We start from the raw sequence: 24,520 nt of genomic DNA, 5'->3' as shown, positions 1-24,520 counted from the left end.
TGCTGACTTTTCTCAGCCACACAAATCAAGCAGGATCCAAGTGTTCATGAGGATAAAGGGACAAACACAGACCTTCTGTCCTGGGAGGCCTGGAGTCATACTGCCTTCAACACAGCATGCAGGGGAGAAAGCCCAGACTGTGGGCCAGGAGGCTGACTTTCACCCCTGCCTTGTCCTGACCCCTGTGTGGCTTTAGGCAAGGCCTCTCCCCTCTCTGGATCCCAGTTTCCCCATCTGTGGAAGAAGGCCTTTGTGTGAGCTGCTCTGGGGGCCGCTGCACTGATGGGCTGCAGTTCTCTGAACCCTCCATGGCAGGGAGCTCCCTGGGGGACCGTGCCCACTCTGGGTCAGCTTTGCACTTCCTGGGCCTGGCTCAGTGCTGGCATAGAGGAAGCGCTTAGGGAAATAGCAGGAGCGTCAGAAGGAAGAGGCAAAAGGAGATGAGAGGGAGAAGGAAAGAGGGAAAGAAGGAGAGGGTTGAGGGAAGGCAGCGGAGGAGCCCTTCTCTGGCTACCCTGTTCCTGCAGCAGCCGCCTGACGGGTCCCCCGTGTGGCCAGCCTCCCTGGTTCATTCTCCCAGAGCAGCCCAAGGGGAACTTTTAAACCACACCTCTGATGGGCTTTCCCTGTGTTCAATACCCCAGCCATCGGCGGCGAAACCACTCCCAGGTCCAGGAAAGCCCCTGGTAGGCTTGCTCCCCGCCCCCAGCTCGCCTCACTCCTCACTCGGAAGGCGTTTTCTTTAAATTGAGGTGAAATTCACATAACATAAAACTAACCATTTTTAGGTAAACAGTTCAGTGACATTTAGTATATTCACAGTGTTGTGTAACTGCCACCTCCATCTAGTTGCAAAACATTTTCATCACTTCAGAAGGAAATCCCATACCCAGCAAGCATTTAGTGCCCGCTCTCCTCTCCCCCAGCCCCTGGCAAATACCAGCCTGCTTTCACTCTCCAAGGAGTTACCTTGCCTGGATATTTCCTATCCATAGAATCACACTATATGTGACCTTTGTCGCATCTTTCACTTAGCATAATGTTTTTGAGGTTCATCTATACTGTAGCATGTGTTGGGACTTCATGCCTTTTCATTTGAGCACCTGTTTTTCAATTATGTTGGGTACAGGAATGCTACCTTTTTTTTTTTTTTTTTCCTTTTGAGACAGGGTCTCACTTTGTTGCCCAGGCTGGAGTGCAGTGGCGCTGTCATGGCTCACTGCAGCTTCGACCTCCCGGGCTTAAGTGATCCTCCCACCTCGACCTCTGGAGTAGCTGGGACTGCAGGTGTGCACAATTACACCTGGCTAATTTTTCGTAGAGACAAGGTTTTACCATGTTGCCCAGGCTGGTCTCGAACTCCTAGACTCAAGTGATCCACTCGCCTCAGCCTCCCAAAGTGCTGGGATTATAGGCGTGAGCTCTCCTACCTGGCCTGGAATGCTTTTTTCATCATCCTCCCCCACCTCTCAATCTGAATTCTTACCCCAGTGAGGTCAGAGAGGATTCTTGGAGGAACCGGCTTCTAAACTGGGATCACCAGACTTCCCTGGCCTGTGTCAGGGCAGCCCCCGTGCCTCCTCCAGCACATCTCACCTGGATTTGTAGTTGCCTGGTGATCGTCTGCTTCCTCCTGGGCCATCAGTTCTCCCATGAGCAGGGCCTGTGCCCCATGCCCACACGAAGAGCCAGTACGCAGTAACACTAGCTAGCATGCATTCAACACCTGTTCGTTGGTGCACTGGCCACTGGGCTCCTCATCCTGTGTCTCATCTAGTTTATAAAACCCTGGAGGGGGCCGGGCATGGTGGCTCACACCTGTAATCCCAGCACTTTGGGAGGCCAAGGCGGGTGGATCACAAGGTCAGGAGTTCGAGACCAGCCTCGCCAATACAGTGAAACTAAAAAATACAAAAATTAGCCGGGTGTGGTGGCGTGCACCTGTAGTCCCAGCTACTCAGGAGGCTGAGGCAGGAGAATTGCTTGAACCTGGGAGACGGAGGTTGCAGTGAGCCGAGATTGTGCCACTGCACTCCAGCCTGGGCAACAGAGTGAGACTGTGTCTCAAAAAAAAAAAAAAAAAAAAAAACCCTGGAGAGAGAGAGGAATTATTATCCCAGCTTTATTGATGAAGAAAATGAAGGCAGAGTGACTTGCCCAAGGTGACACAGCTTCGGGAGGACACAACCAGGAGTTGAACTGGGGCTAATTCCAGAGTTCCTGCTGGTAACTTCTTGTTCCGAATAAAAGAGGGGATCAGGATTGATTAATGTTCTCTCTTGAATGTGTCCCTGACAGGGCACAGGCAGGATGGCCGATGCTGACAGGAACCAGCGGTGACTCTGGGGCCCCTGGCAGCAGCTCTGTCTCCTGAAGATGAAGTGGCCCAGGTGAAGCCCAGGCCAGCCCCAATGGCCAGCTCGGAGACTGAGATCCGCTGGGCTGAGCCTGGCCTGGGGAAGGGCCCCCAGCGGCGGCGCTGGGCCTGGGCCGAGGACAAGAGGGATGTGGATAGAAGTAGTTCACAAAGCTGGGAAGAAGAGAGACTCTTTCCCAATGCCACCAGCCCCGAGCTCCTAGAGGACTTCCGCCTGGCCCAGCAGCACCTGCCGCCCCTGGAGTGGGACCCACACCCGCAGCCCGATGGGCATCAGGATTCCGAGTCAGGAGAGACTTCGGGAGAAGGTGAGACTGACACCCCTCCCCCTACAGTGGTGTCCTGTCCCCAAAACATCACACGTTCTTTTTTTTTTTTTTTTTTTTGAGACAGAGTCTTGCTTCATTGCCAGGCTGGAGTGCAGTGGCACGATCTCGGCTCACTACAGCCTCTGCCTCCTGGGTTCAAGCGATTCTCTTGCCTCAGCGTCCCGAGTAGCTGGGATTACAGGCATGCGCCACCATGCCCGGTTGTATTTTTTTTTTTTTCTTTTTTTAGTAGAGACGGGGTTTCACCATGTTGGCCAGGATGGTCTCAATCTCTTGACCTCGTGATCCGCCCGCCTCGGCCTCCCAAAGTGCTGGGATTACAGGCATAAGCCCGGCCATCACACATTCTTCCAGGGAGGAAGGGAGTGGACGCTGCTTCAGCATTTTCAATTAAATTCTACAAAGTCTGTAATTAAAAATTTTTAAAGATTTAAATTGTATACATAATACCATTCATTGCAGAACAACCGGAAAGTATAAGCACAAAATTAGGTAAAATTTAAAATTACTCATTGTCCCACTCCATCCCCTGATAACCACTGTTTTCCATATGTGTAGATATGCAAATGTAATGTGAATAAGGAACAGTATTCTACATGCTTCCTTGTAACCTGCTTTTTGGTTAACTTAATAGATGTGAACATTTTCGTAGTTCATCAAATCCTCTCCCACAAGTGATTCCTAGACTTCCATGGATATTCCATGGTTAATTGGCCAGTCTCCTACTGCTGGGCGTTTTAGTAGTTTCTAGATTTTGCTGTTATAAATAATGCAGTGATGAATGTCATTAATATATCTTTGCACACTTGATTTGATCATATCTTTGGTAATTTGAATTACTTAGTCCCGGGGTTATGTCCATTTTTGACTTTATTTTTTTTTTTTAGTGAGGCAGAGTCTTGCTCTGTTGCCCAGGCTGGAGTGCAGTGGCATGATCATGGCTCACTGCAGCCTCGACCTTTCTGGCTCAATCAATCCTCAGAACTCAGCCTCCCGAGGAGCTGGGACTACAGGTGCATGCCACCACACCCAGCTAATTTTTGTATTTTTTGTAGAGACAGGGTCTCACAGTGTTGCCCAGGCTGGTCTCAAACTCCTGGCCTGAAGTGAGCCTCTCACCTTGGCCTCCCAAAATGCTGGGATTACAGATGCGAGCCGTCATGCCTGGACATTTTTAAGGTTTTTTAAAATCCCAATTAGCAATGGGAACGTTGGCATTTCTTGTTTTCTACAATAGCTGTGTTCTGGTTGCATCCAGACCAACTTAGACTGAATTCCTAGCTTTGCTTAGCAAGTTCCTTCTGCCTGAATCTTGCTTTTTCCATCTATAAAATGAGAGGAATCATATCGTGGAGAATAGTAAGAGCTGAATATATGGTAACTATTGCACTTAGATTATGAGCAAGATGCCCCTGTTTTAGGGTCCTGTGACTCCCGCAGGCTGGTGTGGTTGGTAGAGAAGCCTCCTCTGGTAGTGGATTGTGCCATTACTCAAAGTTTCACACACCTGATCTGCTCAAAGTGGGCACTGCCCACTGAGGAGCCATTTCTGAGCTCTCTCTCCAGCAGGGGATGGTGACTGAGATGCACTGGGTCGACAGGGCAGAGGCATCTCTTCCTGGGGTCACATGGTAACCCCCTGCTATGATGTAACAGCTGCTACCTTGTCCTGTGCCTTTACTATGTGCCAGGCACAGGGCTGGGCAGGGTCTGGCCCTCTCTTGTTCCCTCCTCACCACCCTCTGTCAGGTAGGAGGAACTATCCTCAAGTTTGACTATGGATTGCCAGAGAGGTCAGCAGCTTGCCCGTGGCCCCAGTGAGGGGTGATAGGAGCCAGGATTGAACCCAGGGCTCCCTAGCTCCAAAGCCCAGGCCCCTTCACCCCTAGTACGTGACCCCTAGTGGTGGAAGCAAACTCACCTGCATGGCTGGGGCCTGGGTCCTAGGTCCAGGGAACCACTGGGTGATCTTTGGCAACTTACGTAACCTCCCTGGGCTTCAAGTATGCTGCTGTAAGCAAGAGTAACTTGCTGAAGGACATGTTAAGTGGTTAAGAGACGTAGAGGCATCAAGGGTAGGGGAAAGAGCATGGAGGAACAGAGAGTGCGACAAAGGTGCATCTGCCTGAACAGAGAGTCTATGCCTGGTGGTACCCAAACTATGTCTCATGAAACTTTGGACTTATCCCTGAGGTCAACACGGGGTCTAGAGCAGAGTGGGTGCTCCATAAACAATGACTGCATGGATGGTGGTTAGATGCATGGATGAATGGACAGGTGGGTGATGAATGGGTGCATGGGTGGGTAGATGGATGGATGTTGGGAGGAAGGATGGCGGGATAGATGGGTGGGTAGATGGATAAATATTTCTTGAGTACCCACTATGTAATAATTACAATAACTATCTATTTCCTGGGGGCTTTATATACCTTATCTTCCTCTCTCCCTCCTTCCTTCCCTCTCTTCCTCACTCACCTCCCTTTTCTCCTTCCTTCTGTTTAGTCAACAAATAGTGTCAGGTACCGGCACTGCAAATATAATCATGAACAAAACAGAGAGCATCCTTGGCTTCATAGAACTTGCAGTGTAGTGGGCGAGACAAATGTCAATGAAACAACTGCACAAATAAATGGAAAACTGCTGCTATGATAAGTGTTACAAAGTAGAGGGAGCCAGTCCTATGAGGGCCTGTAAAAGGGAGAACTTGACCTAGTCAGGGAGAGCTAAGTCTTCCTTGAGGAGGCAGAGGTTGAGCGAACGCCTGAAGGACAGATAGGAGTTAACTAGGCCAAGGAGGGGAGAGAATCCCTCGGCAGAGGGATGCGCACATGCGTAGCCCCCATGGTGGGAGGAGCGTTGTGTGCACATAGCAGGAGCAGGGGGAGCTTGAGGGGCCATGGAGAGAGATGGATCAGGAGAGCTAATGGGGCCGGGGTGGCAGCGACCTTAGGACCATAGTGAAGGTTCTGCTTTTCTTCCACAGGAAGACATGGATGAGTTTTCAGATGTGGGATGTGGGTGAGGATAGAGGAGATGGTTAGGTGGCTACTGACTGCAGTTAGCCAGATGAGAGGATGGGACGCGAGCTAAGGTAGTGGTGGTAGACTTCAGAGCAGTAGATGAGTTTGCGATCTTTATAGGAGGTCCCATTGGACAGGACCAAGTGACAGAATGGATTCAGGGGGTTAGAGGGAGAGAGATGGCAAAGATGCCTCCCAGCCTTCTGGCCTGTATGCATAGAGGGGATGGTGTTGCCGTCTGCTGAGATGGGAGACACTGGAGGGACCATCCACCGGGTTTGGGTTTGAGTTTGAGTTTGAAGGACCTCTGAGATAATCAGATCAGGTATCAGACAAGCACTTGGCTAAGTCTACCACCACCTTGGGATTCTTTCCATCCCCACGTGATGAGGAAATGGAAGCCAGAGAGTTGAAGTGACTTAGGGTAAGTTACAAGGTGGGTGCAGAGCTGGTATATGCTAAGAAGTGAATGGCCTGTCTTTCCAGAGGCTGAAGCAGAGGATGTGGACAGCCCAGCAAGTTCCCATGAGCCTCTTGCCTGGCTCCCCCAGCAGGGCCGTCAGCTGGACATGACTGAAGAGGAGCCAGATGGGACCCTCGGAAGTCTGGAGGTTGAGGAGGCTGGAGAGAGCTCCTCAAGGTTGGGGTATGAGGCTGGTCTCAGCTTGGAAGGCCATGGAAACACCAGCCCCATGGCTCTTGGGCATGGTCAGGCCAGGGGCTGGGTGGCTTCTGGCGAACAAGCCAGTGGGGACAAACTTTCTGAACATTCCGAGGTCAACCCATCCGTTGAACTCAGCCCGGCAAGGTCCTGGAGCAGTGGGACAGTGAGCCTCGACCACCCTAGTGACAGCCTTGATTCTACCTGGGAAGGAGAGACCGATGGCCCCCAGCCCACTGCCCTGGCAGAAACCTTGCCAGAGGGCCCCAGCCACCACCTCCTAAGCCCAGATGGCAGAACTGGAGGCAGTGTTGCTCGGGCAACCCCCATGGAATTCCAGGACTCCTCAGCTCCCCCAGCCCAGAGTCCGCAGCATGCCACAGATAGATGGAGGAGAGAAACGACCAGATTCTTCTGCCCTCAGCCCAAGGAACACATCTGGAAGCAGACAAAGACGTCACCTAAGCCACTCCCTTCCCGATTCATTGGCTCCATCAGCCCCCTGAATCCCCAGCCCAGGCCAACGCGGCAGGGCAGGCCGCTGCCCAGACAGGGAGCCACTCTGGCTGGCCGCTCCTCTTCTAATGCCCCCAAGTATGGCCGGGGGCAGTTGAACTACCCACTCCCTGATTTCTCCAAGGTAGGGCCCCGGGTGAGATTCCCCAAAGATGAGAGCTACCGTCCCCCCAAGTCCAGAAGCCACAACAGGAAGCCTCAGGCCCCTGCCAGGCCCCTCATCTTCAAGTCTCCAGCTGAGATTGTGCAGGAGGTGCTGTTGAGCAGTGGAGAAGCAGCCCTGGCAAAGGACACGCCTCCTGCCCACCCTATCACCAGGGTACCCCAAGAATTTCAGACGCCTGAGCAAGCCACTGAGCTGGTCCATCAGCTCCAGGTTAGTGGGACTCATGGCTGTGGATGTGTCACCAAGGCCCCTGTTGGCTTGGGGTGGAGGCTAATTGGGGTGGGGAGGCCTGGAGTAGAGGCTGGCTGGGGTGGAGAGGCCTGGGATAGAGCCTGGCTGGGGTGGGAAGCCCTAGGACGGAGGCTGGTGGGGTGGGGAGGCCTGGGGTGGAGGCTGGCTAGGGTGGGAAGCCCTGGGATGGAGGCCAGTGGGGTGGGGAGGCCTGGGGTGGGGAGCCCTGGGGTAGAGCCTGGTGGGGTGGGGAGGCCTGGGGTGGAGGCTGGCTGGGGTAGGAAGCCCTGGGATAGAGGCTGGTGGGGTGGGGAGGCCTGGGGTGGAGGCTGGCTGGGGTAGGAAGCCCTGGGATAGAGGCTGGTGGGGTGGGGAGGCCTGGGGTGGAGGCTGGCTGAGGTGGAGAGCCCTGGGATAGAGGCTGGTGGGGTGGGGAGGCCTGGGGTGGAGGCTGGCTTGGGCAGGAAGCCCTGGGGTAGAGGCTGGCTGCGGTAGGGAGGCCTGGGGTTTGGGCCAGGAACTCCCTGCTGGTGGAGGGAGGGTGTACCTGGAGCCCTGAGATACACCCAAGCCCTTTGCTCAAAAAGACCAGTGATTGTACTCGTGTTTCAAGGATGATCTGTTTGCTTCTTTTCAACTTCTGCTATAAAAAAATTAAAACATATACAAGAGAGAAGATCGTAGAATACACTCCCATGTACCTACCCCCCGCATCCACAATTAGCAGCCCCGAAAACCTTTCTCGCCTGTGGCCTTACCTCTCCCCTATTCACCCCCACTAGATTATTTTGAAGCAAAATTTCAGGCATCCAATCCTTTTATCTAAAAATGTGTTAGTGTGTGTATGTCTAAAGATAAAGACCTTATATTAAACATAACCACATACCATGGTCACCTAAATGTTAACACCAGGTCCTTAAATATGAACAAATATCACACCCGCATTCAGATCTCTCTGTGTCTCATAAATGGCTTATTCGTTCCCGTCCATGGGCCTCAGGATCCAAACATGGCTTGTATATTGCATTTGGTGCCTTTCAAGTCTGTCCTCTCCCTTTGTCTTTTTCTTTCTTTCTTTCTTGCATTTACTTTTTCAGATCTCTTTTACTCTCTTAGTCCGTCCTCCTTCTTACTTCTGCCGTGCAATTCATTTGTTGCGGAAATCAGTCTGTCCTGCAGAGTCGTCCGCAGTCTGGGCTTTGCTGATGTGCTGTGGTCTCTTTTCATGCGTCCCATTGTCCTCTTTTTCTTGAATATTGTTAGGTTTTGAGCTAGAGGCTTTGGTGGTCTGGAGGAGAAACATGACCATTTCCCTTCCAGACCATGAGCTCCACGGGCGTGGGGAGTTTTGGCAAGAGCACGTGAGTGCCTCCTTCAGTAAGCACAGGATGCCTGCTGCTCTCTTGTTGGTGATTTTGACAGCCTCTGATGGTCATTGTCTTGGGCTAGTCTTTCATTTGAGGTGACAAAGTGGTAGTATGCTAATGCTCTCATTCCTGCATTAATTGCTGGAAATATGCTAAAAAGTAAAAGTGTCCCTCATCAACTACTTGGTTACCAAGTTCTTGTTCCTATGGGAAGGGCCAGCGAGATGTTCCGTTCTGTCCTTTTACTGTTACCGTTACTGACCCATAATGGTACTTACTTAGTTACCGACCCGTTTTCAGAAGGAGTCAGTTCCTCACATCCTTCAAAGGTGACATGCTTTTCCTTTTTTCCTGCAATGACTTGTTTTTATAAAGTTCTTTGGACTTGTTTAAGATAAGTGACTCTGAGTAGGTGGAACAGTGATTTTAAGTCTTCTATTTCTCTGCCATGGGACTCTTGGGTGATTCATTCAATTAGCCATTGAAAATCAGGTACTTCTTAAGCACATGCTTCTTAAACACCGACAGTGCAGCAGGGGGAAAGAAAGATATGGGCCTCACCCCACAGAGCCAACCGGTGGGCAGGGCATTTGGAGAAATAAAACAGTGGCAGCCATCTGCGACATGGGTTATGTATCAAGGTAAACCAGCCAGAGGCCCTCAGTCTAGACCCGTTGTCATGGGGGTAGAAGAGTTGTCCCACTGCCCTCTCATGCTCCAGAACTTGAACGTGGTGGGTCTGTGTTGCACACAAGCCTGAAGATTGCTCAGCTCGGATCCCACCATTGAATGCTTTCCTCTCAGGAACCCAGAAGCCCTTATGGAAGGGGGTTTGCTATCAGGGTCTCCCAGCAAGGAGGGGTTCATTGTGTGCCTGCGCATGTGACCGTGTTGCTCCCGCTTTCTGCAGGAAGACTACCACAGGCTCCTCACCAAGTACGCTGAGGCCGAGAACACCATTGACCAGCTACGCCTCGGGGCCAAGGTACCAGGCCGGGATGGGGTGGAGGCATGGGCCCAAGTCCCCGAGGAGGTGACACTTTTCCATAGTCCTAGAGAAAGGCCACTGCCTCCTCCATCTACTGAGGCCCTGGAGATAGTGGAACGCCAGTTTTCTTCTACCCCAAGGTCCCTCTGTGACCTTGGGCAGTGACCTTGCCTTCCCTGGGCTTTTTTTTTTTTTTTTTTTTTTGAGTCAGGGTCTTGCTCTGTCACCTAGGCTGGAGTGCAGTGGCATGGTCGTAACTTACTGCAATCTCAACCTCCTGGGCTCAAGGGATCCTCTTGCTTCAGCCTCCCTGGTAGCTGGGAATGCAGGCAGTCATCACTATTCCCTGCTAATTTTTTTTTTTTCAATGTTTTGTAGAGACGGGGTCTTACTTTGTTGCCCAAGCTGGTCTTGAACTCCTGGGCTCAAGTGATCCTCCTGCCTCAGCCTCCCAAAGTGCTGCTGGGATTACAGGCCTGAGCTACCATGAGCCCAGGAATTTCATGAGAATCTCTCTCCTTCTAGATGGGTTCTGGAGTAAGACCACCTGGGTTCGACTCCTGGCTCCATTGCTAACCAGCTGTGTGACCTTAAGGACGTTACTTGGGCTCTGTGAGCCTCAAAAGAGTAACACAGAATTTCTGCTCAGCCCCTGGTGCTTGTTTTTTGGGCCTGAATCTTCCTGGATCACACCTTTGCCTTTCTCCCTCCCCACCACCTCACCACAGCCTCTCCCCTCCCCTGAACAGCAGTATGGGGCAGGAGGAGAGCAGAGGGGGAACCCACCACCCCAGCCCCCACCCCGTCTTCGGAGGAGGCTGTGAATTCTGCACCTTCCTCTTTTCTGAGTGAGGCAGGAAGTGGGACCTGTGCGGCCCCTCGTGGCTTCCTGCTTTTGCTGTGCCCTCCTCTTGCCTCATCAGGCAGCAGTAGAGGAGGATGTGGGAGCTGAGGTGCAGAGATGCAGATGCCCCAGTGCCTCCCCCTGTCATGCTCCAGGACCCTGCCCCTGCCACAGCTGCTGCTCTCAATGTCGAGAGGCACTTCCGGGGCAGGTGGGCGGAGGCCACTGTGGTGAGGAAATGGAAGGGGGCCTGTTCTAGGACCAGGACCCCCCCCCCCCCCGCTGCGTCCCCACACCTGCTGCCTGGCACAGGCAGGACCCTTCCCTCTTGGCCTCATCGGGCACATCTGTAAAAGAGGGGCTAATCAGACTTCCTCCTGGGAGCCAAGCAGGCTCCTTCCAGCTTTCTGAACCACTGAGCCAGATCCAGGGTTGGAAGAGACGGGGGAGTTGGGAAAGGGAGGGAAGGGGCTTTGTTAGGTCATCCTCTCTGGGGAAACCACATTCCCATGGCTGCAGACTCCAAGTAGGTCCAAGGAGAAAGGAACTGGTCATCAGACCCAAACACTTGGGCTTCCCCATTTGGCAGATTGGGAAACTGGGGCTCCCGTTGGGATAGGGGCCTCTGAAGGTCATGGAGTGGCGGGGGCTGGAGGCGTGGAGCGTCTGCACCCTCCCTCCTCCCTTCCTTCCTCCTGCACTCGTTTAAGGGCATGAGTCAGTATACAGAAAGCATTTACCTGGCACTAGGCAGGCACTTTGTAAGAGTTAGGGAATATTATAAAGGTGTTTACTGCCAGGCCTCTTGTGTGCCAGCCACAGTGACAGGCGGGGGTGGACACGGGGGAGCACAGCTGGGGTATCTCCTCTCGTGGGTGCTCCCTTGACCCAGTAGGACTCAGGGTCCCCCCCATGTGTAGTCACCCTGCCCTGGCCAGCACCCAGACCCCTGGCTCATGTGTGTGAGGGTGTCACAGGAGAGGCCAGAAATGGTTCTGTGCCAGCTCACTCACTCCCGCTTTCTGGAAAAATGATTGCTTGGCCCGAGGGCTCTGCTCCCTCCCCCAACCCCTCTCTCAGCCTCAAGAAGTGTGAGCACCATTCAGGGCTCTACCGGAAGGAAGCAGGATGATACTATCATCTCCTGCCCAACCCCATCTCACAGCTGCCCTGAAGGAACAGTACATGGCAGGCTTGCAGCTCCTATGTGCAGAAGAGAACACAGAGCCCCGGAACAGGGAGGGGATTCACTCTGGGTCCATGGGGCTTGAGGGGAGCTGAGATTCCAGCTGGCCAGTGCCTCACTCCATCTGGACCTCTGTGCACTCTACCCCGAAGGCTGGAGAGACCCCAGGATGGTCTTCTGCTCAGAACCCACGAGTTCAGAGGCAGTCCTCAGAACCCACCGAGCCATTTCACTCTGCTCAGAGCCCACGGGGGAGGGCTGGACCCACCTGGGAGGGAGCCGCGCTGGGGATGTTGCGCTGGACACCCAGGCTAGGCATGGTGGGTAGGTGGACAGCAATGGATGGGGACCCATAGGAAGGAGATTGACATTCACTGAGCAGCAACAGGTATCCCACCCCAGCTTCAGGGTCATATTTGAGCCCCTCCACACACACACCAAGGCACAGCCAGGTGGAATGGTTTGCTCAACATCCCACAGCTGGTGCAACAGGCAAAGCTGGGACTGAAACCTACATCTCCCTGATTCCAGAACAGGTGTTTCTTTCCTCATGCCTGGGTAAGCCCTGGCACTCAGGCCCTGGCACTGGGTGTGGAGACAGGCATAGGGATGAGGTGGATTGATGACTGTTATAGTAATAAGAATGGTCATAGGTGATGTTTATGGACCACTCTCTTAAATAATTTGCAGTTGGGGAAGCTGAGGCACAGAGAGGTTAAATAACTTGACCAAGATCATTCAACAAGTAGGTGCCAGAGCAGGAGTTGGAACTCGGCAGCCTAGCTCTGAAGCCCACGAGTGACACCACACTCTAGCAGAACTAGACTTGGTAGTTGCGGGATCTGCAGCTGGGGAGGCCTGGCCCAGGAACACCGATGGGTCTGGAGCCTTGGGGTTGGGGCAGGACCAGGGAGCCCAGCTGTGGGGCAGGGAGCCAGGACTGGTCAGGAGTCACTGGTGGGCTCTGTTCTCTACACTGGCCTCTGGCCAGGGTTTATAGTGATCTCACTGCATTTGCTGCCATGTTGCCACCTCCCCCCCAGCCCCTGTTCCTCCATCTCAGCTGAAGAGGGATCTGGAAGAGCTGAGGTGACCAGAAATTACCCAAGAAGGAATTACGGAGATGATGTAAAACCACCTCTTTTCAGTGTGTTCTGATGGCTGCAAGTTGGTCTAGAAGCCCCTGGGTGGGGATGGGGGGAGGGGGAGGCTTCTGTATGCAGATGAGTTGGGGAAACATCTTCCTCTCTCTCTTCCTCCTCCCCTCCCTCCCCATTCATAAAGCCCATTAGCATTTTAAAGGCTGAGAGAAATCCATCTGTGCAGAGAATATTCATTTGTTTAACCCAATGTTTCCCAAATTCACTAGTCCTCCCTTCACAGAATCCTGATTCACCTTTCACAGAATCCCCCAAGGGAGTGAATCCAGCCTTGGGGAGCACCCGGGACACCCTGGCTGTGTCCAGAGAGACCAGCCCTGGGAGGGCCTGGCCGGAGCAGCTGCAGCTGCCACCCCCACCCCCACCGCCACTCCCCACCTCATCGCTCTGCCTGGGCATCTGCTCAGGTTTTGGGCTTCTCTGCTTCAAACTCCTTATCGGTCCCTGAAACAAAAGGGCTTCCTGGCTTCCCTGGCCCATCCCCATTCCCTGTCACTCCCTAGGTGGGGCCTGAGGCTGAGAGAGGGGTCTGGGGAGGGAAACATGTCAGAGGGCTGGGCCTCCCCTGGGATTTGGGTCACCTCAGGAGAGGGGTGCTGATAGGAAAGGCCCCCACAGGGGAGTCTGAGCAGATGGCTGAGGGGATTATTAAAATCCAGCTTTGTTCTCATCTGGGGAGGCTGGGCCTGAAAGAGGGGGAGGCGGCGGGGACCATGCCACACTTGGAGTTGATTTTTCGGCTACAGCCGGGACCTATACAGCTTAAGCAAGAGAGCCTGCTTGCCTGGGGGCCAGGGAGCCCCTTCCACCAGGCCCACCCTAAACTGCTCATTCCTGACCTTGGTGCAGTGGGGGCAGTTAAGATAACCCCCCAACATCATGATGAGCAAATCCCACTAAGGGGTGTTGCTTTTCCACGGGCCTGTCTCCATGGTGGCTGTGCAGATAATGATGGTGATGACGATAACGGTGATGGTGATAATGGTGATGGTTACGATGATGACGGTGATGGTTATGATGATGACGGTAATGGTAAAAATGGTGATGATGGTGGTGGTAATAGTGATGGTGTTGGTGATAATGGTGATAGTGATGGTGATGGTAATGATGGTGAATGATGGTGATGGTAATAGTGATTGTTATGGTGCTGACGGTGATGATGGTGGTGGTAATGACAGTGGTGGTGATGATGCTGATGGTGATGATGCTGATGGTGATGCTGATGGTGATGCTAATGATGGTAGTGGTGATGACGGTGGTGGTGAAGATAATGGTGATGAATGTCAGGGTGGTGGCCACTATTTATTGAGCACTTATTTTGTGCGCAGAGAGGTTATTAAACCAACTAGGACTCAGAGGTGTGCTGTGGTAGAGCCTAGACAGGAACCTGGGCTCTAGCTGCAGAGCCCACATGCTAAGCCAGAGTTGGCAAACTTTCTCTGTAAAGGGCCAGATTGTGACAATGTTTGGCTTTGTGGAGCATATAGTCTCTGTCACAACTACTCAACTCTGCCACCAGAGTGTGAAAGCAGCCATAGACAACACATAAACAAACAGGCATGGCTGTGTTCAATAAAACCTTCTTTACAAAAACAGAACATAGTTCTCTCAACTCTGCTTTAAGCTGTTGAACAGCCTGTGGTTTCCCTCTGCTTTCCAGCTTCAAGAGGCCTTCCTTGGTCACCTGCCTGACTCCAGACTGCTCCCTCACCAACTGGGCTGGCTGCCATGTTAAATCCATCCTCAAATGATAGAGATCCGCTACCAATGGCAGATTAGTTTGTTTACTTGCTGGTTCACTCATTCATTCGAATAGCTATTAGTTGCTATTATTATCAGTATAATAATTATTAGAAATGCTTATATTTGTTAAGAAATAATTATATGTTATATGGTATATTAATTATGATATAATTATAACACACATTATTAATAAAAAATTACTGTTAATAGGAGAACCATAGGTGTTGGGGTCAGATAGAGCAGTGTTGTGATCCTCATCCAAGGACTTATCAGCTGGGGATTTTGAGTAACTGACTTAATAACCTCTCTGTGTCTCAGTTTTTTCTTCTATATAATGGGCTGTTGGGGTCCCCACCCTGTCTTCCTTTCAGGACTGCCATTAAGAGTAAATGAAAAGGCATGCAGTTCTTCACCTGTGTTTGGCCTAGCCAAGGGCTGCACTGAAAGATGGTATTTATTACTACAGGGCATGTGTGTTGAGCTCCTGAATGAAGATGAGGCGTTTCAGGTGGGTTTGCCCCTACCCTGACTTGGCTGTGCTGTGCCTCCCTGCTTCCACAGGTGAACCTGTTCTCTGACCCACCCCAGCCCAACCACAGCATCCACACGGGAATGGTGCCCCAGGGGACCAAGGTCTTGTCCTTCACCATCCCACAGCCCCGCTCTGCAGAGTGGTGGCCGGGCCCGGCCGAGGACCCCCAGGCCTCTGCGGCCTCAGGTGAGTCCGGGAGAAGAGCTGCAGCTGGAGGCTCCTTCTGCCTGGGATTCTGCTCTGTGGGACTGACTTGGTTCACCCTGGGGATGGCGCTGGCCTCAGGCCAGGGGAAGGAGGGAGGCAAGGCCCCACCCTGGGCACTTTGACTCAAAAGGGTCAGAGATGTGGAAAGTGTCCTGCTTTGATCCACAGCAGCCTGGGGGCAGCCCTGGCCCTGCCACTTGGCATCTTGGTGACCCTGGGTGAGTTGAAAACATAGAGCATTGTCCCTGGGGAGCCCATATCTCAGCCAGGCCCTGTGCTAAGCCTTGACACATGTGACCTCACTTAATCCCCACAATAACCCGCTGAGGTGTGCACTGTTGTCACACCCATGACAGCCAAGGGGACCAATTGGAGAGGTGAGGACACGCTGAAGTTCATACAGCTATGGAGGGGAAGTGTCTGGATTGGAACTCACGTCTCCCTGTGTGAGAGCCCACGCTGTTGACTGGGAACCCAGAGGCCTAGCGTAGCTCTGCTCCAGCCAACCATGTGGCCTGGGGCAGATCTGGACCTTGTTCTCCCTTGTAAATGGGGGACAATGTTCTACCCAGCCCACTTCCTGGGGCTGATGTGAAGATCGCACATGGTGACTGAGCTATAACTTGATGATGGAGGTGGTGGCTTTGACGTTCAGCCTCAGTCCTTCAGCTCCTGGAAGGACTGTTCTTGGCCCCAGCTTTCAGCAGTTGTGTATTCCAGGGTGGCCATCAGCTCGAGGAGACTTGAGCCCCTCCTCGCTTACCAGCATGCCCACCCTGGGGTGGCTTCCGGAGAACCGGGACATCTCTGAGGACCAGTCCTCAGCAGAGCAGACCCAGGCACTGGCTTCTCAGGCCAGCCAGTTCCTGGCCAAGGTGAGTGGACTCCCAGCTTTGCCCCCGAGAGACTTAACTCACCTGGAGAACACAGAACCTCTGCCTGCTTGGGTGAGAGGCACTCTGGGAGTCTCACTTGTCATTCCCCTGCCTCTGCACCGAGTTAACTCAGCCATCCCCAAAACATGAGCCCCTCCCTGGTTTTAGAGGCCACACAGCTCCAGCCTCCTCCTTGTCACCAGTGCTAGGTCTCACCCCCCTTTTTGGCAATGCATCTCATCCAAATCCCTCCACTTGTGCTTGGAAGTGTCTCTAGGCTGGCTCCCGGGAAACTCTGAGCTCTTTCAGGATTCTGGAAGGGTAACAGAATCTCCACTCTACCTTTTCCTCTTCAGGATAAGTTGCCTCACTTTCTTAGTTCATTTTATTAAATAAATCAATTCCTAGTTACTTCTCAAGGGTCTTCGTATCTTCATGAAACAGTCCAAGTAACCGTGAATTGTTTGCAGGTCTGTTTATAACTGTACATTGGCTTTATTCCAGAAGTGGTTTAAAGCACCTTATGAAAATACATACGTTTTAGCCACATTCTGAAAACAGAAGTGAGAAAACTGGGGCAGAGAGGAAGTAAGGGTAGAAAAAAATAAAATACGTGGAGTGAGTAAATAAAATGTTCTGTTGGACCCTAAGCACATTAGAGTCACACATTTAGCTTTGAGCTTCCTAGTTGCCAATGCCAAAAGAGAAATGCAATAGTTACATGCACTACCATGCCCATAAAACAAATTCTTTCAGAAGCACCACCATTTTATTCTTCCCTTCCCTTCCCTCCTCTCCTCTCCTCTCCCTTCCCCTCTCCTCTTCTCTTCTCTCCTCCCCTCCCCTCCTCTCCTCTTCCCTCCCCTCCCATCTCTCCTTCTTTCCCTTGCTTTACTGAAATATAATTCACATACCATGCGGTTGACTCATTTAAAGTGTTTGCTTGCTTCAGCGGTTTTTAGTATATTTGCAGTTCTGCCACTATCACCACAGTCAGTTTTAGAACATTTTCATCACGCACTAAGAAACCTCATCTGTATTAGGCAGTCACTCCCCATCCCCTCTTTCCCCAGCCTCCGTCGGCTGCTCTTCTGCTTCCTGTCTTTATAGGCTTGCCTATTGTGGATGTCTCATAGCAATAGATTCACGCAATATTTGTCCTGTGTCTGACATCTGTCACTTACCATGATGTTTTCAAAGTTAATCCTTGTTGGAGTAGCACATACAAGTACTTCATTTCTTTTCTTCTTTTTTTTTTTTTTTGAGACAGAGTCTCACTCTGTTGCCCAGGCTGGAGTGCAGTGGTGCAGTCTTGGCTCACTGCAACCTCCGCTTCCCGGGTTCAAGCAATTCTCCTGCCTCAAGCCTCCCTAGAAGCTGAGATTACAGGCACGCGCCACCATGCCTGGCTAATTTTTGTATTTTTAGTAGAGATGGGGTTTCACCATGTTGGCCAGGCTGGTCTTGAGCTCCTGACCTCAGGTGATATGCCTGCCTCGGCCTCCCAAAGTGCTGGGATTACAGGCTTCGTTTCCTTTTGCCACCACCATTCTTGGTTCCGTAGCCGGAGACACATTTCTTCTTCGTCCTATATGTTGTCCACAAAATAAAGCAATGTCAAATCATCACACTGAGCAGGAGCTGGGGCCTTAGCTGACCCCTCATGTCTAGTGCTGCACGGTCCAATTCAGAAGCTGCTGGCCACATGTGACTGTTGAGTACTTGACATGGGCTGCTCTGAATTGAGACGTGCTGTGGGTATGAAACACATGCCAGATTTCAGAGACTTAGAAATATAAAGTGTCTCCCTATTTTTTTAGTATTGATTACATGTTGAAATGATATTTGGGGCTAAATAAAATATAAAAATTAATTTTACCTGTTTCTTTTTACATTCTCAATGTGGCTATGAGAAAATTATAGATGGTGTAGCTCACATTATAGTTCTATTTTATATATTATAAAATTATGTAATATGATTATATAATATACATTTCTATATTTCACACTGATCTAGAGCTTTCTTAAAACCGAACCTTACATCATCCCTTGCCTTTTTTTGTAATTAAACTTTTTTGAGCAGGTAATAGATGCCCATGATAAGGACCTTTGCACAGTACAGAGGGCATATTGAGCAAAAACTAAATCTTTCCTCCAACCCATGCAAAAATGTTCAATGCACACACTTGCATTTATAGAAATGGCTGCATAAGCTACTGTACCTTGACTTTTTGAAGTCTTAAATTTGAATATTTATTTTTGGGTAGGCAACGAATTCACATTGTTCAGATTTCAAAGGATGCAAAGGACATGTAGTAGAAAAATCTACTTCTCATTCCTGTCTTCCAGCCACCCAGTTCTCCTTCCCAGAAGCAATTCATATTTTAGTTTCTTGAATTCCTCTAGAGATAGTATATCGTATATAAGCAATGTATTTATCGTTTTCCTTTTTACTCTCCACATATTCTATACAGATGGTAGCATACCGTAAACATTGCCCTGTACCTTGATTTGACACTGAAAAATAGGTCTTGGAGGCATTAATAGCTCAGAACATACACGTGTGCCTTCCTCTTGTTGATGGCTGAATACTATTCCACCGACAGGCATTTAGGCAATTTCTTGTCCCCTCCCTACTGTTCATGCTGCAGTAAATATCCTGACTCATTAGTCTTGATGCACATGAGTGACTTGCTTTGTTGTCAGTAAATTCCTGCAGGTTTCACTTCAATTTTTCTCAAGGCTACCATGCCTGGGGCTGGTGGTAGAAGCTGTTCCCAGCACCCACGTCTCCATGCTTGGCAGAAACCCCACATCCTGAGGACGGACCCAGCTCCTCTTACCAAGGCATAGATGTGGCTGGGTGTGGGAGTCTACAGGACTGGATTAATGGAGCATATTTCCTTCCCCTCCCAATGTCCAGGTGGAGTCCTTTGAAAGACTGATACAGGCAGGACGTCTCATGCCCCAGGACCAAGTCAAGGTACTGCCCAATTCAGGAGCCACCCATGGAACTGCCAGACAACCACTGTCTCCCATGACTCTGTCTCTGAAGCCTTCTTTGCTGCAAGACAGAAAAGAGAATCCCAGACACAGGGTCTCTTTTAGAGCAAACAGTTCCTGAGTAGCTTCCCATGATAACGATCATTATTTCACAATAGTTACCCATTATTAAGCAAGGATGGTTGTGTACAGGGACTGTGGTAAACCCTAGAGTATGTTATTTTATTTGGTCATCATCAAAACCCAGTGAAGCAGTTACATTTATCACCCTCATTTAACCAGGATGGAACTGAAGCTCAGAGGGGTGACTCAAAGGCCCCACAGCTAGTAGGCAGGAGAACCTGGAGCCAGGTCTGTCTCTCTTTCAAATCCAGGGTCATAATCACTGCCCTGCACTACTTTCCACAAATTATCCTGCCTCTCAGCAAGCAGAAAAAGGCCTTTTCTTTTTTATCGCCTTTAAACAAAATTACAAAATAGTTGCCAAAAGTTTGGAAACCCTGTTAAAAAAAGTGGGGGCTGGAGGGGAGACCCTTTATAGAGTCCTATTGGTGTATATCCTTTGGAATTTGGAGTTTTAGATAACGGTGGTCATAAATACAATTTAGATTCCTGCTGCATCAGCCAGGGTCCCATTAAGGGACAGGTGGGGCTCTCAAGTCTGGGAGTGTAGGCGTCAAAGGAGAGAACTGTCAGCAAAGGTGTGGGCAGCATCAGGGGACCCAACAAAGACTGAGGAATCCCCGGGTAGTAGCATTAGCCGGGAGCTGTGCCCACTCTCAAGTCTCTCTCTTCCCACCCTGTGATCTCTCATAGGTCCCTCCCACTAGACAGACCCAACCAGAAGCCAGCAGGTAGACAGCCCTGATGCTCAAAGCACAGAGCAGGGTGGGAGAGGAGCTGAGAGAAGGTCTGGAGAGGCAAATTCAAAACACCTAGTTTCTAAAAAAATGTTATGGCAGGATATTTCCTGTGTGGTTACATAGATGTCATGTACATTTTCCAATCACAAAATGTGTCATATGTATCATGTAATATCATCCAGTGGATGACCAAGGACCTTATAAACTAAAACCATTCATTTTTTTGCTCTCTGTTCTAATCCCCCCATATACAGGGAAGTTGAGAGCTGTCAGAAGATTAGATGTGACCAGGGAATGGGTTTTAGGTTGTGCTTGGCTTCTGTCTCTCCTCAGAGTTGAGTGGGATGTGGATGGTAGTAAGACAGTGATACCAACCCCAATTCCTGCAGCTTTAGCCATGTATTACCTGTGATCCTCCTATGGGAGCCTAGCAGAATTGCTAGGACCATGAGCTCTGGGGCCAGAGGGCCTGGGCCCACATCCTGTCTCTACAACTCACTCACTCCATGACCTTCATCAACTTAAGTGACCTCCCTGTGCCTCAGTTTCATCCTTTTTAAATGAAGATGATAAATCACCCCTCTCATTATGATTATATTGAAGATTAAATAAATGCAAAGTGCTTTAGCCCAGAGCCTCAATGCTCAGTAAACATTCTCAATAATGTGATGGTGATGATAACATTATCGGTGTCGATAGTCTATAAGGATTTGGGGAAAGAGTGGCTAATTTTCTGAAGCCCACAGTTTTGCAAATCAAGAATGAGGATCCAGAGTCTCTCATGTAAAGGGTCCTTATGGAGATAATAGTGAGAGTGTATTTGACACTGTGACAGCTATGACAGTTTGTGGTACATTGGGGTCCTTGTAAGTCTATGCAGGAAGGGCTGGTGCCCTCTGGAGCTGGTGCCAAGTCTCTGAGTTGTGTCTCTGTTGTGCCAGCCTGATGGCAGAGAGCTTGACCACGGCAGCTCTCCAGGGCAGGCAGCCTCCAGAGATCTCAACCTCAGCCTGTATCTTGCATGAACCCAGGGGCCCAGGTGCATCCCATGGCCTCCCGCAAGCTGTCTCATCCACTGTGTCTTCAGGGACAGGCCCCGCGGGGACTGAGCACTCAAGTCTTCCTGGCCTGGTCTGGTTTCAGGGCTTCCAGCGGCTGAAGGCTGCCCACGCGGCCCTAGAGGAGGAGTACCTGAAGGCTTGTCGGGAGCAACACCCTGCCCAGCCGCTTGCCGGCTCCAAGGGGACGCCTGGAAGATTTGATCCTCGCAGGTACCTGCTGGGGTGGAAGGCCTGGAAGGACAGATGGGATGGGCCCCTGGGGTCCCTCAGTCTCCAGGAGGGAGGCACTTTGTCCTTATAATTTGTACACGGGGAATAGAGAGAAATCTTATCCTAATTAGTATACATATCCAAATGGTGGCACGATCAAAAGCTGTGATTTGAGTCCCTTTGGACCCACGTGCTGAGAAGATGCCTTGAAACCCTTATTGGATGATGGGGAAACTGAGGCTAGATGGGGGTGGGATTTCTCTAATGTCCCACAGCCTGTGGATGGCAGAGGGGACTTGGGCTGAGACCTCCTGATTCCCAATGGAACCTTCTTTCATCTTGCTTATTTTGAGTTCTCACCATCATCTAAAGGCTGATATTAAATGGACCCTAAGGGGGCATCCCCTGGAGTCTCTGCTCTGATACTCTGTTCCTGGACCTGCCTGATGTAGCTGCCATCTTGGGCTCCTGGTGGTAATGTTTCTGCATTCCAGGGAGCTGGAGGCAGAGATATACCGTCTGGGAAGCTGCCTGGAAGAGCTGAAGGAACACATAGACCAGACCCAGCAAGAGCCTGAGCCGCCCGGGTCAGACTCAGCTCTGGACAGCACCCCAGCCCTGCCCTGCCTCCATCAGCCAACGCACCTGCCTGCTCCTTCTGGACAAGCCCCCATGCCAGCCATCAAGACCTCCTGCCCTGAGGTACCTCTTGGCTCAACCATATTGGGCTGTTCCCTCGTGCATTCATTTCTTCGTTAATTCATTTCTTCAATACGTATTACATATTTATGAAGTGTGTGCCATATGCCAGTGTGTGCCAAATATGTAAATATTACATATTTATGAAGTGTGTGCCATGTACCATGACACATGGTAGGGATTCAGTGGGATGGGAGGTGGCAGGGAAGGTGGCGTCTACCTTCACAGAGTTTTCTGTAGAGTTGAACTGGTTACAGTGATTTAGTTATAATTTTGGTCAGTGCACTGAAGGAGAATTATGGGGTTCTGTGAGAGTAGCAGGAGTAACATGACTGAGTTTGAGGAGGAGGTCAGAGAAGCTTTCCCTGAAGAAGTCATGTTTAAATGAGACCTGAGACTAAGTAGGAATTACTAGAGACAGAAAGAGAAAACCCATCCAGCAGGGAAAACAGCTTGTGCAAAGGCCCTGTGGCTAGAGTATGGGAAGAGAAAGGAAAAATAGTCTGAGATGTGGCTGGAGAGGCAGGCAGGGGCCCCATGATGTAGGGGCTTGTGGGTCACGTAGAGAGCATGGCCTTAAACTCTGCTGGATTTTCTGGCAGGGGATGACATAAGATGACTTGTGGGTAGGCCAGTCTGAGGCTGGGGAGGTGGCAGGGCAAATGGAGAAGCATGTGTGGACTTAAGAGAGGTTGGGAAGGTATGTTTGAGTGGACTTGGAGTGGCCGTGAGAGGGAGGAAGGGAGACACGGATGGCTCCAGGTTTCTAGCTTGTAGTACTGCATGGATAATGGGGTGAAACCTAGACAAGAGCCCTACACAAAAGGGGCTTTGTAGAAGGCTGTCTGGCCCACACCACAACCCCTTGAGAGACAATCACTATCTCCGTTTTGCAGGCGAGCAAATTGAGTGTAGTGCGTTCACACAGATGACAGTAGTGGGGTCTCTATGCCTCCCAACTCCTGTTGCCTGTGCTGCAAAGACTTGTCTGTTGAGGATGGGAGCAGGAAAGAGAGCCTGGCATGCTGGGTAGGGTGGGACACTGGTAGGACATCCCTGACAGCTGAGGTCATGCTGGCCCTATGGTTTGGGGAAAATCTTGTGCTGTGCTCTGGCCTAGAGGGTAGGAAAACTCTACCAGGTGCCACTACACACTTGAATGGGGAGAAAACCTGAGTACAATATCTTAAGGGACCCTCATGCTCCTGCAGTTGAAGGTATTGCAGGGGGCTGGGGTGGCCATGCTGGAATGGATGGGGGTCAGGAGAGTTAACTCTGGCAGGAAATCTAGGTTTAAATCTCAACTCTGCTCCTTGTTTCTGTTGACTTTGGGCAAATCATTTGAGCGTGAGTTACCTGTCTATAAAATGGTTTGTAATAATCGTAGGTACTGGTGGGATTGTTGTGACATGGTATCTGTATGGTGCCTGGCACACAGCAGGTGCTCAATTCATGGCAGCCAGTATCGAAGACCACACAGCCCAGTCTCCATAGTTTACACATACATAAAAGGGTGGTGGGCTTAGTGAGTCTAATGTGCTTCTTACCCCGCAGCCCACAGCTCGAGCCTGGCAGGAGGTAAGTGCTTAAAAGTGGTGTTTAACTATCTGCTGAATCTCTGTCTGTCCATCTTTCTGACCCCAGCCTGCTACCACCACTGCCGCCGCCAGCACTGGCCCCTGCCCATTGCACGTAAATGTGGAGGTGAGCTCTGGCAACAGTGAGGTGGAGGACAGGCCACAGGACCCCCTGGCCCGACTCAGGCACAAGGAGCTGCAGATGGAGCAAGTTTACCATGGCCTCATGGAGCGGTGAGTGCCACCTGGACCTGACCAGGGTGTCTGGCCAGCAGCTGGATCTTGGCTGTCCCCCACTGGGCAGAGGTCATGCCCCTCTGTGTGTTCTTCTGCAGGTACCTCAGTGTGAAGTCTCTCCCAGAAGCCATGAGAATGGAGGAGGAGGAAGAAGGAGAGGAGGAGGAGGAGGAAGAGGGGGGAGGTGACTCCCTGGAAGTTGATGGGGTGGCTGCAACTCCAGGGAAAGCAGAGGCCACCAGGGTCCTCCCAAGGCAGTGCCCGGTGCAGGCTGAGAAAAGTCATGGGGCTCCCCTGGAGTAAGTCACTGAGCCTTTCCTGCAGAATGTTTGTTTCCACCCTAAAACCACAGGGATGATCACTGTCAGAGTGAATAAGACAGCGCTTCACAGTTTAGACATGGCTTACCTGTCCTGCCTCTTCAAGTGTGGAATGTATACCACTGATAGCCCTTGAAATGATTTTGGGTAGTGTGGGACATGATTTTCAGTAGGACACATGCAGTATTAAAGAACATTATTCTCAGCTGGGCACAGTGGCTCATGCCTGTAATCCCAGCATTGAGGGAGGCCAAGGCAGGTGGATCACTTGAGTCCAGGAGTTCAAGACTAGCCTGAGCAAAACGGCAAAGCCCCATCTCAACAAGAAATACAAAAATTAGCCAGGCA

The 24,520-nt window shown here is 51.0% G+C and overlaps 1 protein-coding gene across 19 annotated transcripts in view, besides 8 other annotated features; it reads left to right on the top strand.

The window, feature by feature from the left end:
- AKNA (AT-hook transcription factor) overlaps window positions 1–24,520 on the top strand; it is a 67,969-nt gene that overhangs the window by 14,728 nt on the left and 28,721 nt on the right. For 13 of the 19 annotated variants that reach the window (XR_929844.4, XM_006717294.2, XM_005252245.2 and 10 more), the window contains 10 exons: window positions 2,299–2,685; window positions 6,213–7,279; window positions 9,578–9,652; window positions 15,150–15,306; window positions 16,048–16,202; window positions 19,126–19,185; window positions 21,212–21,339; window positions 21,834–22,041; window positions 23,683–23,849; window positions 23,951–24,151. Coding sequence is in view for 18 of the 19 variants with exons in the window: in XM_006717294.2 (XP_006717357.1) it covers window positions 2,412–2,685; window positions 6,213–7,279; window positions 9,578–9,652; window positions 15,150–15,306; window positions 16,048–16,202; window positions 19,126–19,185; window positions 21,212–21,339; window positions 21,834–22,041; window positions 23,683–23,849; window positions 23,951–24,151 (2,492 nt within the window). In the remaining variant the exon portion in view is untranslated. Of the gene's footprint in view, window positions 1–2,298; window positions 2,686–3,900; window positions 4,456–4,512; window positions 4,984–6,212; window positions 7,280–9,577; window positions 9,653–15,149; window positions 15,307–16,047; window positions 16,203–19,125; window positions 19,186–21,211; window positions 21,340–21,833; window positions 22,042–23,682; window positions 23,850–23,950; window positions 24,152–24,520 lie in introns of those variants that run through there. The other 6 variants (XM_011519065.3, XM_011519063.3, NM_001317952.1 and 3 more) reach the window with 4 other exon arrangements.
- Window positions 223–1,038: an enhancer, noted in NCBI's record as "H3K27ac-H3K4me1 hESC enhancer chr9:117144987-117145802 (GRCh37/hg19 assembly coordinates)". NCBI's record gives its function as "activates a minimal SCP1, AML or CMV promoter by ChIP-STARR-seq in naive H9 embryonic stem cells {active_cell/tissue: H9 hESC(naive)}" and the evidence as "EXISTENCE:reporter gene assay evidence [ECO:0000049][PMID:30033119]".
- Window positions 1,173–2,154: an enhancer, noted in NCBI's record as "H3K4me1 hESC enhancer chr9:117143871-117144852 (GRCh37/hg19 assembly coordinates)". NCBI's record gives its function as "activates a minimal SCP1, AML or CMV promoter by ChIP-STARR-seq in primed H9 embryonic stem cells {active_cell/tissue: H9 hESC(primed)}" and the evidence as "EXISTENCE:reporter gene assay evidence [ECO:0000049][PMID:30033119]".
- Window positions 4,731–4,900: an enhancer, noted in NCBI's record as "experimental_106363 CRE fragment used in MPRA reporter constructs". NCBI's record gives its function as "activates a minimal promoter by MPRAs in K562 erythroleukemia cells, with activity observed for both the introgressed and non-introgressed 9:117141210 variant alleles {active_cell/tissue: K562}" and the evidence as "EXISTENCE:reporter gene assay evidence [ECO:0000049][PMID:34662402]".
- Window positions 13,967–14,671: an enhancer, noted in NCBI's record as "H3K27ac-H3K4me1 hESC enhancer chr9:117131354-117132058 (GRCh37/hg19 assembly coordinates)". NCBI's record gives its function as "activates a minimal SCP1, AML or CMV promoter by ChIP-STARR-seq in primed H9 embryonic stem cells {active_cell/tissue: H9 hESC(primed)}" and the evidence as "EXISTENCE:reporter gene assay evidence [ECO:0000049][PMID:30033119]".
- Window positions 15,665–16,613: an enhancer, noted in NCBI's record as "H3K27ac-H3K4me1 hESC enhancer chr9:117129412-117130360 (GRCh37/hg19 assembly coordinates)". NCBI's record gives its function as "activates a minimal SCP1, AML or CMV promoter by ChIP-STARR-seq in primed H9 embryonic stem cells {active_cell/tissue: H9 hESC(primed)}" and the evidence as "EXISTENCE:reporter gene assay evidence [ECO:0000049][PMID:30033119]".
- Window positions 15,894–16,193: an enhancer, noted in NCBI's record as "active region_28857". NCBI's record gives its function as "activates an Ori minimal core promoter by ATAC-STARR-seq in GM12878 lymphoblastoid cells {active_cell/tissue: GM12878}" and the evidence as "EXISTENCE:reporter gene assay evidence [ECO:0000049][PMID:35858748]".
- Window positions 16,721–16,810: an enhancer, noted in NCBI's record as "active region_28856". NCBI's record gives its function as "activates an Ori minimal core promoter by ATAC-STARR-seq in GM12878 lymphoblastoid cells {active_cell/tissue: GM12878}" and the evidence as "EXISTENCE:reporter gene assay evidence [ECO:0000049][PMID:35858748]".
- Window positions 16,831–16,890: an enhancer, noted in NCBI's record as "active region_28855". NCBI's record gives its function as "activates an Ori minimal core promoter by ATAC-STARR-seq in GM12878 lymphoblastoid cells {active_cell/tissue: GM12878}" and the evidence as "EXISTENCE:reporter gene assay evidence [ECO:0000049][PMID:35858748]".

Source organism: Homo sapiens, chromosome 9 (assembly GCF_000001405.40).
Source record: "Homo sapiens chromosome 9, GRCh38.p14 Primary Assembly".
NCBI classification, from domain to species: Eukaryota; Metazoa; Chordata; class Mammalia; order Primates; family Hominidae; genus Homo; species Homo sapiens.
The sequence above is the reverse complement of the archived record's forward strand: the minus strand, read 5'-3'. Positions and strand labels throughout refer to the sequence as shown.